General features: G+C 49.7%; 1 protein-coding gene across 1 annotated transcript, besides 15 other annotated features; it reads right to left on the bottom strand.

The window, feature by feature from the left end:
• Nucleotides 5,742–13,504, bottom strand: CYP1A2 (cytochrome P450 family 1 subfamily A member 2). Its single transcript, NM_000761.5, has 7 exons — nt 13,452–13,504; nt 11,780–12,619; nt 11,040–11,160; nt 10,495–10,584; nt 10,102–10,225; nt 9,079–9,165; nt 5,742–7,558 (listed from the first exon to the last, which is right to left on the bottom strand). The coding sequence occupies exons 2-7, from the start codon at nt 12,608–12,610 to the stop codon at nt 7,261–7,263; spliced, it is 1,551 nt and encodes a 516-aa protein (NP_000752.2). The 5' UTR covers nt 12,611–12,619; nt 13,452–13,504; the 3' UTR covers nt 5,742–7,260.
• Nucleotides 12,611–13,748: a promoter, noted in NCBI's record as "1137 promoter fragment". NCBI's record gives the evidence for it as "EXISTENCE:reporter gene assay evidence [ECO:0000049][PMID:12920202]".
• Nucleotides 12,611–17,918: a biological region, named in NCBI's record as "CYP1A2 5' regulatory region". NCBI's record gives its function as "regulatory_interactions: CYP1A1 | CYP1A2".
• Nucleotides 13,414–16,709: a promoter, noted in NCBI's record as "-3202 to +86 promoter; KpnI/BamHI fragment". NCBI's record gives the evidence for it as "EXISTENCE:reporter gene assay evidence [ECO:0000049][PMID:2747632]".
• Nucleotides 13,538–13,543: a GC rich promoter region. NCBI's record gives its function as "important for promoter activity" and the evidence as "COORDINATES:motif similarity evidence [ECO:0000028][PMID:19571439]".
• Nucleotides 13,564–13,585: a protein binding site, noted in NCBI's record as "EB11". NCBI's record gives its function as "positive regulation of promoter activity" and the evidence as "EXISTENCE:protein binding evidence [ECO:0000024][PMID:15849719]".
• Nucleotides 13,614–13,637: a protein binding site, noted in NCBI's record as "NF1-like site". NCBI's record gives the evidence for it as "EXISTENCE:protein binding evidence [ECO:0000024][PMID:15849719]".
• Nucleotides 14,835–17,918: a transcriptional cis regulatory region, noted in NCBI's record as "-4412 to -1329; Bst1107I fragment". NCBI's record gives its function as "negative regulation of CYP1A1 and CYP1A2 promoter activity" and the evidence as "EXISTENCE:deletion mutation evidence [ECO:0005510][PMID:16505155]".
• Nucleotides 15,480–16,028: a promoter, noted in NCBI's record as "-2520 to -1970 promoter". NCBI's record gives the evidence for it as "EXISTENCE:reporter gene assay evidence [ECO:0000049][PMID:8120057]".
• Nucleotides 15,521–15,548: a protein binding site, noted in NCBI's record as "3' AP1". NCBI's record gives the evidence for it as "EXISTENCE:protein binding evidence [ECO:0000024][PMID:9466818]".
• Nucleotides 15,602–15,860: an enhancer, noted in NCBI's record as "259 bp enhancer fragment". NCBI's record gives the evidence for it as "EXISTENCE:reporter gene assay evidence [ECO:0000049][PMID:7723729]".
• Nucleotides 15,694–15,716: a protein binding site, noted in NCBI's record as "EB2". NCBI's record gives its function as "positive regulation of promoter activity" and the evidence as "EXISTENCE:protein binding evidence [ECO:0000024][PMID:12663044]".
• Nucleotides 15,701–15,728: a protein binding site, noted in NCBI's record as "5' AP1 site". NCBI's record gives the evidence for it as "EXISTENCE:protein binding evidence [ECO:0000024][PMID:9466818]".
• Nucleotides 15,976–15,998: a protein binding site, noted in NCBI's record as "EB3". NCBI's record gives the evidence for it as "EXISTENCE:protein binding evidence [ECO:0000024][PMID:12663044]".
• Nucleotides 15,995–16,013: a protein binding site, noted in NCBI's record as "X1 site". NCBI's record gives the evidence for it as "EXISTENCE:protein binding evidence [ECO:0000024][PMID:8120057]".
• Nucleotides 16,246–16,267: a protein binding site, noted in NCBI's record as "EB4". NCBI's record gives the evidence for it as "EXISTENCE:protein binding evidence [ECO:0000024][PMID:12663044]".

Genomic DNA, 18,579 nt, shown 5'->3' with positions numbered 1-18,579 from the left:
GGGGTCCATCTTGCCCTGAGTCCACCTTTCTCAGGATTTCTGGTGTGTGTGTGTGTGTGTGTGTGTGTGTGTGTGTGTGTGTGTGTGTTGTACCCTGACCTGTAATTTGGCACTTTACACACATTATCTCATTAAACCTCCCACCCAACCTGTAAGATAAGATTATCATCCCCAGTTGCGAGATGAGAAAGTCTAGACTCAGAAAGTTTATGTCACAGGCCCAAGGTTAGTGGGTGAGCTGGGATTTTCTTCTGGATCTGTGAGCCAGCCTCTGGTCTCATCTCTTTTCCCTTTCCCAAGCCCTGTAATTATCTTAATACTGGCCTGGGGTGGAGGGGTAAATACAGAGGTGAAGGCCTGGGGGAACCTATTGAGTATCACCTATGCCACTATGTTATCTTAAACCCAGAAAAACCCGCTGGGCTGCAGGGCCCACAGGGAGAGTGCAGGTCCCTCAATGCAGAGCAGAGTCTGCTTCCCTTATTAGTGCAGGGTGATGGGCATCGGGCAGGCTCCTTGCCCAAAAGTGCCCCCCTCCGCCCCATTGCACTGCCTGAGAGGCTCCATCGCAGCTGTACTCCAGAGGACTCTAGTGAACCTGGTGTTATGTCATGGCAGAGGGGTGGACAGAATGCAGGGTCTCAGAACTAATTTTGAGGGGGATCACTAAAGAATGGGGAGCTTGGCTCAGGGTATGGCTACCTCTGGTGGCAGTCCCCTCTCAGGGACAGGAGCCAGTGATAGGGATAAGATATAGGGCAAGCTCATGGACTGACGCTGAACTGCATAAACCCTGGTCTAGTCAGCCTCTGCTTGGTTCCCCCACCCAGATGGTATACTCACTACCATTCTTTCAGAGAGTCTGCACCCTCCTCAGATTCCTTTGTCAACTGGAAAATCCTTCCTTGGGGGGCAAGTTACTTTAAGACTGAGATTTGGCTGGGCATGGTGGCTCATGCCTATAATTGCAGCACTTGGGGAGACCGAGGTGGGTGGATCACCTGAGATCAGGAGTTCGAGACCAGCCTGGACAACATGGTAAAATCCCATACTCTAATAAAAATACAAAAATTGGCCGGGCACGGTGGCTCACGCCTGTAATCCCAGCACTTTGGGAGGCCGAGGCAGGCGGATCACGAGGTCAGGAGATCGAGACCATCCTGGCTAACACGGTGAAATCCCGTCTCTACTAAAAATACAAAAAATTAGCCAGGTGTGGTGGCGGGCGCCTGTAGTCCCAGCTACTCAGGAGGCTGACGCAGGAGAATGGTGTGAACCCAGGAGGCAGAGCTTGCAGTGAGCTGAGATCGCACCACTGCACTCCAGCCTGGGCGACAGAGCGCGACTCCATCTCAAAAAAAAAAAAATTGGCTGGGCATGGTGGCACATGCCTGTCGTCCCAGCTACTTGGGAGGCTGAGGCAGGAGAATTTCTTGAATCCAGGAGGCGGAGGTTTCAGTGAGCCGAGATCGCACCACTGCACTCCAGCCTGGGCGACAGAGCAAGACTCCACCTAAAAAAAAAAAAGAGAGAGAGAGGCTGAGATTTATCTGGGCAGATCTGGGTGAGGGAGACCCCAGTGACTGAGTTCATTTGCATAGGGACTGAGTGGAATCCTGGGAGGGAGGTCACCCTTAGGGAAAAAAGAGCCAGGCAAGACCACCTGACCCAGTGTTCCAACCTTAGTTAGAGCAGTGTAAGCTGGTTTGCAATGGGGTGTGTGTTAAAGCTATTTCTAATTTGTTGTTAGGAGGTCTCAACCTGGGAGTCACGGGAAAAGATGAGAGCAAAGATAATTTTCTTTGTAGTGTGGGTGTGAGGAGAGGTGGGCAGAGCAGAAAAGTGACAAATGGAGGCTTTTGTGTGTTCCGCTAGCTTTCCGCTGTGCCATTGTTTCTTCCAGGACTTGTGTGCAGGGATCCCTTGCTGAGGTAGCTTAGACCCTGTGACCCTCACTCTGTTGCCTGTGGCTATTTACCAGGGTAAACATTGCTCCAAGGGGACCCAACCACTGACTGACTGTGGTCTCTGACCTGTGTAGCCTGGCTGAAAAAGATGAGCTGAGCCAATCAAACCCCTCTCTCAAGAAGCTGAAACTAGGCTGGGCGCGGTGGCTCACGCCTGTAATCCCAGCACTTTGGGAGGCGGGCGGATCACGAGGTCAGGAGATCGAGACCGTCCCCGGTGAAACCCCGTCTCTACTAAAAAATACAAAAAAATTAGGCGGGCATGGTGGTGGGCGCCTGTAATCCCAGCTACTGAGGAGGCTGAGGCAGGAGAATGGCATGAACCCAGGAGGTGGAGCTTGCAGTGAGCCAAGATTGCGCCACTGCACTCCAGCCTGGGCCACAGAGCAAGACTCCATCTCAAAAAAAAAAAAAAGAAGCTGAACTAGCTCGGCACGGTGGCAGGAGACTGAGAGACTGAGGCAGGAGGATATTGCTTGAACCCCAGGAGTTTGAGGCCGCAGTGAGCTATGATTCGCCAGTGTACTCCAGCCTGAGGGACAGAGGGAGACCCTCATCTCTTTAAAACAACAAAAAACAAACAAACAAGAAAGACCTGTACTAAGATATAAACGAAAGATCTGGTATCTGGTTGGTGGTAGATGCTTGACATAAAGGGAGTTGGGGATCTGAACTGAACAGGTGGGGAGGTCTAGAGAAGTCTCTTAATTTTCCCTACCAGGCAGAGGTGGGATTCCCAGCTCAAGGTTTTTCCCACCATTCTACCATCTTTCATTCCACCATCTTTGCCAAAAATCACCCCTCACCGGGTACACTGCACTTCGAAATTTGCCAGGCACTCACTGGATTTGCCCACAGCCTTATTAAGCAAGAGGCTGGCAGAGCAGGGGTCATTGCTAGTGGCCTGAACTTCAGGCTAATGGTGCTGGAGAAGACCTCACAGAAGGCTGAAGATGGGGTCGAGGCCTGTGAGGGGTGGGACTGGCCCAAGGTCACCCACACTTGGAACCTGAGTGCAGGACTCCTAGCCCTCTGGCCAAGAGCTCTTTCTAACTCTCCATGCCGTTCCTTGATCATGTAGTGTTTCCAAGCTTCCTGTTCCAGTCCCACAATCCTGACTCAGGGAGAGACACAGGTAGGGAAGAGACCCTGGAGGTGGTATAGGGCAAATGGTGCAGTCCTGAATCTCTCCACCACACATGCCCTCCTCATGCTTCCTGAGCCTCAGGCTTCTCATCTCTAAAGTTGGTATAACAGTACCCATCTCCTGTGGTTGTTGTGAGAATAGCCTGAGATGATGCGTGTCCAGGGCCTACCAGGAAAAGATAGAACAGGCTGGTCCCACCTGCCTCGTACCTGCTGTGGGAGGCAGGAATGGCAAGCAGCGGGGCGAAGTCTCCAATTCCTCCTACCTTGGCTCTGGCCAGAGGGGAGCTCTAGGCCAACCAGTTAAAGATTGGCCAGGTGTGCATGAGAAGCTCAAGCCATCTCCAGACCACAGTGAGCCAGATGGGGCAGTGGCTGTATGGTGACCATCGAGCCACCTCAGATCGGTCCTGAAATTACCTCAGGGAGCTGGGCCCTGCTGATTCTTAGATTGGCAAAGTATGGCAATGCCTGCTTGCGGCTTGCCGGGAGGTTTTTTTTGTTTTGTTTTGCTTTTTGTTTTGGGACAAAGTTTCGCTCTTGTCGCCCAGGCTGGAGTGCAATGGCGTGATCTCGGCTCACTGCAAACTCTGCCTCCGGTGTTCAAGCGATTCTCCTGCCTCAGCCTCCAGAATAGCTGGGAATACAGGCACCTGCCACCATGCCTGGCTAATTTTTGTGGTTTTAGTAGAGATGGGTTTTTTTTTCTAAGCTGGAGTCTCACTCTGTTGCCAGGCTAGAGTGCAGTGGCGTGATCTCGGCTCACTGCAACCTCCGCCTCCCAGGTTCAAGCAATTCTCTGCCTCAGCTTCCCGAGTAGCTGGGATTACAGGTGCCTGCCACCACGCCTGGCTAATTTTTTGTATTTTTAGTAGAGATGGGGTTTCACCATATTGGCCAAGCTGGTCTTGAACTCCTGACCTTGTGATCCACCCACCTCGGTCTCTCAAAGTGCTGGGATTACAGGTGTGAGCCACCGCCCCCGACCTTTTTTTTTTTTTGAGACAGAGTCTCCCTCTGTTGCCCAGGCTGGAGTGGAGTGGCGCAATCTCAGCTCACTGCAACCTCCATCTCCTGGGTTCATTTGATTCTCCTGCCTCAGCCTCCCAAGTAGCTGGGATTACAGGTGTGTGCCACCACTCCCGAATAATTTTTGTATTTTTAGTAGAGACGAGGTTTCACCATGTTGGCCAGGCTGGTCTCGAACTCCTGACCTCAAGTGATCCACCCGCCTTGGCCTCCCAAAGGGCCAGGATTACAGGCGTGAGCCACTGTGCCTGGCCAGGTTTTACTCTTAAAAATTTTTTTGGCTTGGCGCAGTGGCTCATGCCTGTAATTCCAGCACTTTGGGAGGCTGAAGCAGGTGGATCACTTGAGATCAGGAGTTCGAGACCAGTTTGGGCAACATGGTAAAACCCCATCTCTACAAAAATTAGAAAAATCAGCCAGGCATGGTGGCCTGCATATGTTGTCCCAAGGTGGGAGGATCGATTGAGCCTGGGAGGTTGAGGCTGCAGTAAGCCAAGATGGTGCCACTGCACTCCAGCCTGGGCGACAGAGTGAGACTGCAAACTCTGTCCCTGGGTTCAAGCGATTTTCCAGCCTCAGCCTCCTGAGTAGCTGGGATTACAGTCGCCCGCCACCATGCCTGGCTAATTTTTGTATTTTTAGTAGAGACAGGATTTCACCATGTTGGCCAGGCTGGTCTCAAACTCCTGACCTCAGATGATCCACCTGCCTTGGCCTCCCGAAGTGCTGGAATTACAGGGGTGAGGCATCGTGCCCGGCCAGGAGTTCTTTATATATTCTATATATAAATGCTTCAACAGCTATATGTTTTGCAAATATTTTCTCTCATTCTGTGGGTTGTCTTTTCAATTTTTTTTTTTTTTTTGAGACAGAGTCTCACTCTGTAGCCCAGGCTGGAGTGCAACAGCAGGGTCTCAGCTCACTGCAACCCCTGCCTCCTGAGTTCAAGTGATTCTCATGCCTCAGCCTCCTGAGTAGCTGGGATTACAGCCTCCTGATCAGCTGAGATTACAGTCTCCTGAGCAGCTGAGGCTAGCCACTACATTCAGCTAGTTTTTGTATATTTAGTAGAGATGAGGTTTCACTATGTTGTCCAGGCTGGTCTCAAACTCCTGACCTCAAGTGATCCGCCTGCCTTGGCGTTCCAAAGTGCTGGGATTACAGGCGTGAGCCTCTGTGCTTGGCCTCCTTTCAATTTCTTGATAGTGTCCTTTGATGAGACCTGGGCCTTTTTCAAATAACCTAAGCACTTCTGGGAAGCTTATCCCCTCCCGGGCTGTGAATGAAGAAATCAAGGCCTTGTGAGAAGTCACGTGTTCTGCCTTTTGAGAATGGGACAGGAGGGATCCCCATCCACCCAACTGGGTTTGGCCCCTGAGACTGGATCCCTTTCTCCTTGTTCCCTTCAATTGTTAAAAAACTTGGGTCAAACAACATGAAAGGAGAGGAGAGGAGTGAAGGAGGTGCCTATCAACGACTTAAGAGAGCACAGACCTAGACCCAGTCTCAGGACTCAAGCACCAAGAGCTTACTGACGCACACCACAACACACATAAGCCTTGAAAACATTGTGCTAAGTGAAAGAAGCCAGTCACAAAAGACCACTCATTGTGTAATTCCATTTATATGAAATGTTTAGAGAAGGCAAATCCATAGACACAGAAAGTAGATTAGCAGTTGCCAGGGCTGGTGAGGCAGGGGAGGCAGGCTAGGGGGAAATGTGGAGGGACTGCTAATGGGTGCAGGGTTTCTTTTAGGGGTGATGAAAATGTTCTAAAATTAATTGTGGGCCGGGCACCGTGGCTCACACCTGTAATGCCAGCACTTTGAGAGAGGTCGAGGCGGGCAGATCACTTGAGGTCAGGAGTTTGAGACTAGTCTAGCCAACATGGTGAAACCCGTCTCTACTAAAAATACAAAAATTAGCCAGGCGTGGTGGTGTGTGCCTGTAGTCTCAGCTACTTGGGAGGCTGAGGCTGGAGAAGCACTTGAACCTGGGAGGCAGAGGTTGCAGTGAGCTGAGATGATGCCACTGCACTCCAGCTTAGGAGACAGAGGAAGACTCTGTCTCAAAAAAAAAAAAAACAAAAAGGCTGGGCGCGGTGGTTCATACCTGTTAATCCCAGCACTTTGGGAGGCTGAGGCGGGTGGATCACGAGGTCAAGAGATGGAGACCATCCTGGCCAACACAGTGAAACCTCGTCTCTACTAAAAATACAAAAATTAGCTGGCCATGGTGGCGCATGCCTATAGTCCCAGCTACTCGGGAGGCTGAGGCAGGAGAATCGCTTGAACATGGGAGGCGGAGGTTGTAGTGAGCTGAGATCGCGCCACTGCACTCCAGCCTGGCAACAGAGTAAGACTCTGTCTCAAAAATAATAAGAATAATAAAATTAATTCTGGTGATGGTTGCACAATTCTACACTAGAAGTCATTCGACACTTTAAGAATGTAAGTTAGGCTGGATGTGGTGGCTCACACCTGTAATCCCAGGACTTTGGGAAGCCAAGGCAGGTGGATAACTTGGGGTCAGGAGTTCGAGACAAGCCTGGCCAACATGGTGAAACCCCATCTCCACTAAAACTACAAAAATCAGCCAGGCGTAGTGACTCATGCTTGTAATCCCAGGTGCTTGGGAGGCTGAAGTGGGAGGATTGCTTGAACCTGCGAGGTGGAGGTTGCAGTGAGCTGAGATCACGCCACTGCACTCCAACCTGGGTGACAGACTGAGATTCTGTCTCAGACAAAAAAAAAAAAAGAAGGTGAATTATATGGCATAAGAATTATATCTCCATAAAGCTGCTATATATATATGTATATATATGGTTTTTTTTTTGTTTGTTTGTTTTTTTTTTTGAGATGGGGTCTTGCTCTGTCACTCAGGCTCTTGGCAAATTTTTTTTTTGTAGAGACAGGGTCCCACTATGTTGGCCAGGCTGCTTTCCAATTCCTGGGCTCAAATGATCCTCCAACCTTGGCCTCCTAAAATGCTGGGATTACAGGCCCTGCACTTGGCTAAAGCTGCTATTTTTTAAAAAAAGAAAGGAAGAGAAACAAGGGCTGAGTCCCCGTGGCTGGCCCCCACTCGCTCCCTGGCCTCAGAATGGTGGTGTCTTCTTCAATTGATGGAGAAGCGCAGCCGCGCCTGGACATGTTCACAGCGGGCGTGCTTCATGGTCAGCCCGTAGATGGGGGTCAGGTCGACTTTCACGCCCGGCGGCACGCTGAACTCCAGTTGCTGTAGCAGGATGGCCAGGAAGAGGAAGATCTCCCACTTGGCCAGGACTTCCCCGATACACCGGCGCTTGCCCATGCCAAACAGCATCATCTTCTCACTCAAGGGCTTGTTAATGGCAGTGCCATCGGCGGTGAGGAACCGCTCAGGCCGGAACTCAGAGGGGTCCTCCCACAGCTCTCTGCAAGAGGAACAGAGGAGATGGGACCTCAGGGCTGGAGAGGCCCTGGGAGGAGGTGCCTGGGGGAGGGAGACTTCTGTTGAGAACACAAGTGTGAGGGCACTTTGAAAGCAATGAAGGGTAGGTGGGAAGGAACCAAACTGAACTTTGATGCTTATTTCTTTTTCTTTTCTTTCTTTTTTTTTTTTTGAGACACCCTCCGGCTCCTATCACCCAGGCTGGAGTACAGTGGTGCGATCTCAGCTCACTGCACTCTCTCTGCCTCCCCAGCTCAAGCCAACCACCCACCTGAGCCTCCCGTGTAGCTGGGACTACAGGCACCATATCCGGCTAATTTTTGTATTTTTTTTTTTTTTTTTTTTTGCAGAGACGGGGTTTCACTGGTCTCAGACTCATGAGCTCAAGCGATCCACCTTCCTCGGACTCCCAAAGTGCTGGGGTTACAGGCATGAGTCACCACACCTGGCCTGATGCTTATTTCTTTTACAAAGCTCTCTCTAAAATGACCAGCCTTAAAGATAGTGCCTTTTAATATTAATTTACTTTAAATAATGCTTTATCTAAAAGAAATTAAAAGAAGAAAAACAGGCTGGGTTTGGTGGCTTACACCCGTAACCCTAGCACTTTGGGAGGCTGAGGCAGGAAGATCCCTTGAACCCAGGAGTTCAAAACCAGCCTGGACCACATAGGAAGACCTTGTCTCTATTTAAAAATTAAAGTGAAAGGAAGAAAGAAAGACATACGTTTCTTCATCCTACTCAAAATATGCCTCCTAAGGGGCCTCAACAGTATGTCCTGGCTTATGTTTATTGTTTTGGAGTAATGATGACTAGCATAAACATTGATAGCATTTTCACACTCAAATGTCCCAGTGTGGATGGTAAATTATATATATGGTCCCCCTACCTATACACTAAAGTGGGGCTTTCCAAAGAGAGGTCTCTGAGCCATTCACATCAGAATCGCCTGAGGTACCCCACCTTAGATACCACAGTAGAATCCTGGGGGAACCATCACCTGTAACAAACGTCTTGGTTGATTTTTTTTTTTTTTTTTTGAGGCAGAGTCTCACTCCGTCACCCAGGCTGGAGTGCAGTGGAGCGATCTCGGCTCACTGCAGCCTCTACCTCCAGAGTTCAAGCAATTCTCCTGCCTCAGCCTCTGGAGTAGCTGGGATTATAGGCGCACCACCATGTCCGGCTAATTTTTGTTTTGTATTTTTAGTAGAGATAGGGTTTCACCATGTTGCCCAGGCTGGTCTCAAACTCCTGACCTCAAGTGATCTGCCTGCCTCGGCCTCCCAAACTGCTGGGATTATAGGCTTGAGCCACTGCGCCTGGCCATCCTAGTTGATTCCTGTGCACTAAAGTTTGTGAAACTTTTGTAAATATCGTCACTTAGAGCAGACTATAGCAATTGAGGTCCCCTCCTTTCATTATATAAACAGTTCCTAGCAGGGACAAACAGCCTTCCTGACTGCTGAACCTGCACACATTTTTTCGTGAGGGGTATGTACTCACGGGTCATGGTTGACCTGCCACTGGTTTACGAAGACACAGCATTTCTTGGGGATGTAGAAGCCATTCAGCGTTGTGTCCCTTGTTGTGCTGAGGAGGGAAGAGGGCACTGTGAGGCTCAGGGCTGGAAAGCTGGGGCATGTGTTGCTCCTACCTCCACCCCATCCAGACAGCCTGCCCACCGCCATCTCCATCCCTACACTGGGAGGGGAGGGGAGGAACAGGGAAGAGGTAGAAACATCCTCCCTCTTCCTTGCGTCCTGTTCTTTAACTTCAGCAAGTATTTACTAAACTTCTCTTTGCGCCTGGCTGCGCACTTGGCTGTTCTCTGGAGCCAAGAAGCAGGCAATTTCAGATAAATGTTTTTCTATTTTCTATGAAAAAAAAAAAAAAAAAAAAAAAAGCAGCAGGCAGCCTGGGGCAGCCCCGGGGAATTTCTAGCCTGGCTGGGGATTCAGGCCTCTTACTGCAGGAATAACTAGAACAACGTTTGGGTAGAAGTAAATGCTCACTAACTCTCTTGACATTGTTAAAATTCCAGGGCATGATCAAGGGCTGATGGCTGTAAGTCCTATAAGACATCAGGAATGAAGCTGTGCCAGCTGGATGAGTCAAAAGGCTTCTGGGGAGAGGAAGCTCGTGTCGGCATTGACTTTGAGCAAGGGTAGGATTCTGGTGGTCAGAGAAGAGGCTAGAAGGTATTCCAGGCAGAAGGTTCAGCGTTAGCAAGATTGGAGGCCAATAGGGTCATGCTTGTGAGGGTGAGGCCGACCTGACTGGCACAGAGGGCACTGGGAGGGAGGGAATATGAACAGAGGGGAATGAGCGCTGAGATCACAAGTGGAACTTTCTCCTGAGAGCTGGGGGTTAGATTATGTTTGGACTGGATGGGGGCAGACTGAGGCCGGGATCTGTGGGGAACGAGGTCGGGAAGGAGATGCTGAGCCAGGGCCAGGGCTGAGAAGCCAGGAAGAGAAAACATGGCAAGCACTTTAGAGGTGGGAGGGCAGAACCGGCAGGCCTCACCTGTGGGGGATGGTGAAGGGCAAGAAGGAGGAGTGTCGGAAGGTCTCCAGGATGAAGGCCTCCAAGTAGGGCAGCTGGGGTCTGTCAGAGAGCCGGGGCCGCCGCTCCCTGCCAATCACAGTGTCTGTAGAACACAGAGGACAAGCAGAGCTCAGGGGCTGCCCTAACTGCCCCATGAATTATCCCCTCTTATACCCCATGTCACTCTTATGTAAGACTGTCTATTCACAAGTCTGCGACCCCACTAACCTCCCACATCTTCTAGGCAAGGGCAGGCACTACTGTGTGCCCAGGGCTTGCACACAGCAGGCACATAACAGGTGTTTGTAGACTGAACAAACAACCTGGGTCTCAAGGCTTCTCCTGGCTATAGGGTTGGGGGCCCCCATGTACCCAGCTCCTTCTGGATCTTCCTCTGTATCTCAGGCTTGGTCACAAGGTACATGAGGCTCCAGGAGATGGCTGTGGTGACTGTGTCAAATCCTGAACCGTGTAGTGTAAGGTGAGGAAAGAAGGAAGACAGAAACAAGGAAACCATCATTTCCCAAGTATCTGCTATGTATGTATCCAGCATTAGCTTTCTCTGGCCCTAGCCTGTGAGTTTCCTGAAGACAGAGGCTGGGTCTCTTCAACATAAACTTGAGATACAGGTTTCAGAATTAGCTGCTGGAATTATAGGGGCCTAGACTTACAGGCCAGAGAACACCTTATTGTTCAGATGGGGAAACTGAAGCCTAGGGGAGGAGAAGGACTTTGCTGTTTCTCCACTGGGAATTGGTGGCATAGCCCAGGCTCAAACCCTGATCCCAAGCCAGATCTCAGTATGTTGTACCATCTGGTGTAGGGTTGGTGGGTTATTTCATGGACTGAGGGGCTGGGCAAGGCTGTGGGTGAACAGCAGGCATTGTTGGATGGAGGGGCAAGGTTCTGGTTCCTACCTGCTCCAAAGATGTCATTGACAAGGTTGACAATCTTCTCCTGTGGGATGAGGTTGCCGCTGGCTCTAGGCCCCTTCTTGCTGTGCTTGAACAGGGCACCCGTGATGTCCCGGACACTGTTCTGAGGGGGCACAAGCTTAGGGGCACCTCTGGCACTTCCAAGGTCAAAGGCTGAACGTTGCTCCACTCCCCTGGCCTGTACCTGGTGGCTGGGTACCCCCCTATCCTCCCAACTTGGTCTCTAGGCAGGGGGTTGCAGCTTGCAGCAGGAGCTGGTAGCAGCCCTGGGTATGGCTTAAAGTGTCATTTTATGCCCCATTGACCCTTCCTCCCAATAACACCAGGGGTCCAATTTCAAAGAAGGAAAAGGTTAGTGTGAACACAGGGAAGCAACGTGACACCAGAGCTGGGGATTAGCCTCTGTTGGGGTTTAGGTTTCTGCAGAATGAAAGCTTTCTCACTCATAGGCCCCCCACATTGCAGGACTCTGCTAGGGCCCCATTTCCAGGGCTTTTTTCTTGGGGGCTTTGAGGAGCCCTGAGAAGGGGGCTTCAAGGATGAGGAAACTGAGGCCCAGAGAAGGGGAAGAGTCGGCTCCAGGTCACACAGCTGGTCTGAGGTGTCCAGAGCCTTCCTAGGCCTTGGCAACACAGCAGCTGTGTGGGCATGCTGGAGCTGGGAGGGAGGGGCTGCACCCAGGCCCTGCAAGGTGCCCCTTGCCACCTGCACCCCGGGCTCACCTTGTCAAAGTCCTGATAGTGCTCCTGGACTGTTTTCTGCAGGAACCACAGGAACCTCTGGTTGAAGGCCTTGAACCTCTGCAGGGCAGGGTTAGGCAGGTAGCGAAGGATGGGGAAGAAGTCCAGGGGGTTCCCGGAGGAGGCAGTCTCCACGAACTCATGAGTGTTCTTCACGAGGCTGAGCATCTCATCGCTACTCTCAGGGAAGTGCTGTCCGAAGCACATGGCACCAATGACGTTGGCCACTGACACCACCACCTGATTGTAAGGGTCGAAGTGCCCAGGCCCTGCCATCAGCTCCTGCAACCTGCTGATCAGGGCCTTAGCCTCCTTGCTCACATGCTCCTCCAGGTAGCAGGAGGATGAGGAAGCTGGGTCAGAGGCGATGGAGAAGGTGTTGAGGGCATTCTGGGCCAGGCGCCGGCGGGCAGCCCACACCGGTCCAGAGTCTGTGCTGAAGGTCAAGCTCTGGCCATCAGTGATGAGGGTGGAGGTGTAGAGGTCAGGCCGGCCCTTGAAATCGTCGCCCTGCCGCACCAGGGCCTGCCGGATGGTGTCCAGGCGGCTCAGCACCAGCACGGGCGTGGAGCCAATGCGGATCTGCAGGACGTCCCCGTAGCGCTGGCTCATCCTTGACAGTGCCAGGTGCGGGTTCTTCCCCAGGGTCAGCACATGCCCGAGCAAGGGCCAGCCCCATGGCTCTGGTGGACTTTTCAGGCCTTTGGGGACCCGAGGCCTCAAACCCTTGAGCACCCAGAATACCAGGCAGAAGATGGCAGAGGCCAGGAGAAGCTCTGTGGCCGAGAAGGGAACAGACTGGGACAATGCCATCTGTACCAACTGCAGGGAAAAAAGGAGGGACCAGGCTGAGGGTTGAGATGGAGACATTCATTCATTCATTTCCTCAGTCATTTGATAAACACTGATGCGTGTTCTGTGCTTGGCTCCCAGCTGGATACCAGAAAGACTAAGCTCCATCTACCATGCGTCCTGGGCCCACAGAGCTCACCCTTTGAGCATCACAGAATCTGAGAGCTGGAAAGGAGCCTCAAGATTCCCAACATGAACGCTGGCTCTCTCCTCCACACATCATCTCAGTTTCCACTTCTGGGGCTGGAGTAGAGGCAAGTGACCACTCCAAAATGGGGAAGCCAAGGACAGCACCCTTGTCAGCCCCTGGCACAGCATGCATGCTGGGTATTGTACCAAAGAGTCCCTGCCAGTGCTGGCTTTCTGCTGATACCTTCCATATACCCAAGGGACCAGGAGTTCCCCCTACCCAGTGACACTGAGGTGGCCAAGGTCCCAGGGCTGGTTCAAATAGCCTGTGATGCCCCCTCCCCAGGGCATTCTTTATCAATACCAGGAGGGGCACCTCCTCCAGGGATGAGTCCCCATCCTCTCACAGTCTTGGAGGTTGGGGTTGGGCTTCAGCCAGGGCCAGGGCTGCCCTTGTGCTAAGGGGGAAGCCCTCCCCATCGCTCTCCTTAAAAATGGCTTAGTCCAAACTGCTCATTTAAAATCGGGAAACAGAAGTCAAGAGCTGGGTAGCAAAGCCCGGAACTCAGGACCCCTACACCTAGCCCAGGCTCCCCGTCTTTCTGTCCCCACTAGCTTCCAGGTTCTATAGTTGGGGATCCCAGAGATTGTAAATTGGTCCCAAGAAAGGTACCTGTAGAGGCAGGTGCTTGAGATTGGCAGGGTTGTAATGGCTGGTGTGGAGCTTCTGGCTCTAGGTGAGTGGCCTTTTTATAAACACCGCCCCCTATCAGATTGGCCTGGTTGTCCTGATCACCTGATATGAAAGCTGGATCACTGAACAAAGTTGGAAGGATCAACTCTTGGCCTTGGGCCATTATCCCTCAGCTCCACCTACTACCTAAGACCCAGGGTGACTCTTTGGGGATAGGCCAGAAGGGGTGCTGGGTCCCTGGGGATGAAGGTACAGCTGTCTTTAGGGTTCAGGGTAGGGAGCCTATTTCTCTGAAGAGTAGGGTAGGGTCTGGGAGTGGGGGTTAGGCCTTTGGACTGATCTGGGCTTCTTTCCCACTGCACACATGAGGAAGAGCTCTGCCAGGGCACTCAGTCTAGGCCAACCAGGCTCACGGCCCCTCTCCAGAGGGATGTTCTTCTGTAGTACCCTCCAACAACCTGCAAAACCAAACAGTAAATGGGCGTGTTCCAGCCACTCCTGATTTTCAGCCCAAGTCCCCAAGTGGAAAAGAAGAGATGATAAAGATTTTGCATCCTAAAGAGAGGCCCCCCTTATGCAAAAAGACTAAGAGACATAACCAAATGCAATATGGATTTGCATTTGATTGCCATATCGATTGGATATGGCATTTAAACAAAATTTTAAAAAAATCTATAAAAGATGTTTTGGGGACAATTGGGGACATGTAAGCACGGACTGGAGATTAGATGATATTCTGGAATAAATGTAAATTTTTTTAGGTGTGAACAGAGTGTCATGGTATGTGGGAGTGTATCCTTATTCTTAGGAGATTAATGCTGTAGCATGGAAGTGTCATGATCCCCACAACCTCCTTTTGAATGGTTCTGTTAAAAAATGTACACCTCTAGGCCAGGCGCGATGGCTCGCACCTGTAATCCCAGCACTTTGAGAGGCCGAGATGGGCGGATCACCTGAGATCAGGTGTTCAAGACCAGCCTGGCCAACCTGGTGAAACTCCGTCTCTACTAAAAATACAAAAATTAGCCAGGCATGGTGGCATGTGCCTGTGATCCCAGCTACTCGGGAGGCTGAGGCAGGAGAATGGCTTGAACTTGGGAGGTGGAGGCTGCAGTGAGCCAAGATCGTGCCACTCCACTCCAGCCTGGGCGACAGAGTGAGACTCCGTCTCAAAAAAAAAAAAAATGTACACCTTTAAAGAGTGTAATTGGATTGTTTGTAACTCAAAGGTTTATCCTTGCTTGAGGGGATGGATACTCCATTCTCCATGAATGCTTATTTCATATTGCATGCCTGTATCAAAACATTTCATGTACCCCATACATATATACACCTACTATGTACCCATAAAATTAAAACAATGTATACCTATCTATCAATAAATCGAGAGAAAGTAGATATGAGAAATGTCAGATATTCATGGACTTACGTGAGGATATATGGTGTTTGTTGTACTAAAGGAGTCTTTAATATGGACCCAGATCTCAGTCAGATCTAAGAGGAGGAGGAGGACAAGCCTTAAATTGGATGTGAAAAGGAAGTTTGCTATCTTTTTTTTTTTTTTTTAGATACAGAGTCTTGCTCTGTCACCCAGGTTGGGGTTCATGTGCCACAATCATGGCTCACTGCAGCCTCGACCTCCTGAGCTCAAACAATCCTCTTGCCTCAGCCTCCTGAGTAGCTGGGACCACAATCACAGGTGTGTGCACCATGCCTGGCTAATTTTTTTATTTTTAAACATTTTTTTGTAGAGAGGAGGTCTTGCCATGTTGCCCAGGTTGGTCTTGAACTTCTGGGCCCAAGCAATCCTTCTGCCTTGGCCTCCCAAACTGCTGGGATTACAGGTGTGAGCCACTGTGCCCGGCATGGATGTGAGAGGGAAGTTTTGATTTAGACTGGAGTGGGCTTTTATTCCTGAAAATGAGAAAACTGTGGGATCAACCTGTGAAGATGCCAAGGCAGATGGATGGGGAATCCAATAGAGAAACAGAGCATGTTTGAAGGCCATGAATGGGAGAAGAGGAAAGTTGTTTCCTGTCTATATCTCCATTGGGTTCAGATGACTCAATGAAAAAGGTCAAGGTTTGAGGTTAGGCTCGGTTTTATAGAAAATGGACTCTTTCTTTCTCTCTGTCTGTCTGTCTCTCTAATTAACTAAAGTTCATGGTTTACTTAGATTTCCTTGCGTTTTACCTAATGTCCTTTTCCTGTTCCAGGACCCATTGGATATCACATGACATTTAGTCATCACGTCTCTTTGGATTCCTCTTGGCTGTGACAGTTTCTCAGGATATCCTTGTTTTTGATGACCTTGACAATTTTCAGGAGTACTGGTTGGACATTTTGTAGGATGCCCACTATTGGAATGTGCCTGATGTTTTTCTTCTCATGGTAAGCCTGGGGTTATGGTTTGTTGGTGGGAAGACCTTGGAGGTTAGGTGCCATTCTCGTCACATCATATCAGGGTTACATCCTATCAATGTGACTTACAGATGTGGATGTTGACCTTGATCACCTGGCTAAGGTAGTGCGTGTCAGGTCTCTTCACTGTAAAGTTACTCCTTTCCCACCTTTCCATACTGTACCTTTTGGAAGGAAGTCACTATGCACAGCCCACACCGAAGGAGTGGGGGATTACGCTCCTTCTCCTTGAGGGGGGATTATCTCCATAAACTATTTGAAATTCTCCTGTATGACAGACTATTTATCTTTTTATTTTTAATGTTTTCTTAAAACTTAAAAAAATTAAATTACAGGATACAATATAGAAAAGTGCATATGTCAGCTGGGACCGGTGACTCACACCTGTAATTCTAGCACTTTGGGAGGCCGAGGTGGGAGGATCACTTGAGTGAGGCCAGGAGTTCAAGACCAGCCTGGCCAACATAGTGAAACCTCATCTCTACTAAAAATACAAAAAAAAATTAGCTGGGCGTGATGGTGCACACCTGTAATTCCAGCTACTCGGGAAGCTGGGGCATGACAATTGCTTGAATCCGAGAGGCGGAGGTTGCGGTGAGCCAAGATCGCACCACTGCACTCCAGCCTGGGTGACAGAGCAAGATTCTGTCTCAAAAATAAATAAATAAATGGAAAAGTGCATATGTCATGTATAGCTCGATCATGTGTAGCTTGATGAATTTTTGCAAACTTAACAAACACACATATAACCAGCTCTAATCAAGAGACATCATAAGCATCCAAGAAGTCCCGTTGTGTTCCTTTCTCAAGGGTACCCATGACCCCAACATCTATTGCATGGATTTGTTTTGCTTGTTGTATTTTACATAAATGAGATCATGTCATATGTACACTTTTTGGAGGGGAGCCAAGGAATTTTAAAAAGCTAATAGATTTTTTTAGAGCAGTCTTTGGTTCACAGAAAAATTGAGTGGAAAGTATGATGAGGGAGGTAAAAGTGGCCATTTACCACCCCCACTCTGCAGTTTCCCCTATTATTAACATCTTGCAGTGGTGTAATATATTTGTTACAATTCGTGGATGAATATTGATACATTCTGGTTGTTGTTGTTGTTGTTTTGAGACAGAGTCTCAGGCCTGGTGTGGAGGCTCACATCTGTAATCTCAGCACTTTGGGAGGCTGATGTGGGCGGATCACTTGAGGTCAGGAGTTCTGGACCAGCCTGGCCAACATGATAAAACCCCATCTCTACTAAAAATACAAAAAAATTAGCCGACCATGGTGGCGCATGCCTGTAGTCCCAGCTACTCAGGAGGCTGAGGCAGGAGAATCCTTTGAACCCCAGAGGTGGAGGTTGCAGTGAGCCAAGATCGCGCCACTGCACTCCAGCCTGCGCCATAGAGCAAGACTCGTCTCAAAAAAAATAATAAAATAAAATAAAGAGAGACAAAGTTTTGTTCTGTTGCCCAGGCTGAAGTGCGGTGGTACAATCTCAGCTCACTGCAACCTCTTCCTCCCAGATTCAAGCGATTCTGGTGCCTCAGCCTCCTGAGTAGCTAGGATTACAGGCACACACCACCATGCTCGGCTAATTTTTGTATTTTTAGTATAGACGGGGTTTCACTGTGTTGGCCAGGTTGGTCTCAAACTCCTGACCTCAGGTGATCTGCCCACCTCGGCCTCCCAAAGTGTTGAGATTACAGGTGTGAGCCACCACGCCCAGCCTCTGATACATTATTATTAACCGACGACCATAGTTTAAATTAAGATGCACTTTGTGTTGTACAGTTCTATGGTCCCCCACCTACACTTTTTTGGTTGTGGTGAAATAATATACATAACATAACATTTAACACTATAGGGCCAGGCATGGTGGCTCACACCTGTAACCCTAGCACTTGGGAGGCTGAGGTGGGAGGATCGCTTAAGCCCAGGAGTTCAAGACCAGCCTGGGCAACATAGTGAGACCCCATCTCTATTTTAAAAAAAATTTTAATTTACCATTTTAACCATTTTAAGTATACATTTCAGTGGGCGGTATATAATCTTGTGTCTGGTTTCTGGTTTCTGTTACTTAACATTCTTTTTTTATGAGACTCATTCATGATGTTGGGCATAGTTATAGTTCATTCTCATTGCTGCACGGTATTCCATTATAATATGAATACCCAACACCTTATTCATTCATTCAACTGTTGATTGATACTTCGGTTGCTTCCTCTGTTGGGCTAAGATGAGCCCTGCTGTCAGGAGCATCTTTTTTTTTTCTTTTGAGACAGAGTTTAGCTCTTGTTGCCCAGGCTGGAGTGCGATGGCGTGATCTCGGCTCACCACATCTGCCTTCCCGGTTCAAGCGATTCTCTTGCCTAAGCCTCCTGAGTAGCTGAGATTACAGGCTACCATGCCCAGCTAATTTTGTATTTTTAGTAGAGATGGGGTTTCTCCATGTTGGTCAGGCTGGTCTCAAACTCCCAACTCAGGTGATCTGTCCTCCTTGGCCTCCCAAAGTGCTGGGATTACCGGCGTGAGCCACCGTGCCCATCCAGGAGCATTCTCGAACCTGCTTTTGAATGCATGTTTGCTGCTCAGGCTGGAATTGCTAGTTCATAGGATAGGTGAATGTCCAGCAGTAATATATTCTACCAAACAACTTTCCTGGCTGGGTGCAATGGTTCACACCTGTAA

Source organism: Homo sapiens, chromosome 15, assembly GCF_000001405.40.
Source record: "Homo sapiens chromosome 15, GRCh38.p14 Primary Assembly".
NCBI lineage: Eukaryota > Metazoa > Chordata > Mammalia > Primates > Hominidae > Homo > Homo sapiens.
Note: the sequence above shows the minus strand (reverse complement) of the source record. Positions and strands in the feature narration are given on the sequence as shown.

Excerpts from the sequence above, each read along its gene's own strand:
- CYP1A2 (NM_000761.5), bottom strand. The coding sequence starts at position 12,610 with ATGGCATTGTCCCAGTCTGTTCCCTTCTCGGCCACAGAGCTTCTCCTG. Across the intron at positions 11,161-11,779 it reads ACTATCAGGACTTTGACAAG|AACAGTGTCCGGGACATCAC; the intron begins GTGAGCCCGGGG and ends GTGCCCCCTCAG. Across the intron at positions 7,559-9,078 it reads TGGCAGGTCAACCATGACCC|AGAGCTGTGGGAGGACCCCT; the intron begins GTGAGTACATAC and ends TTCCTCTTGCAG.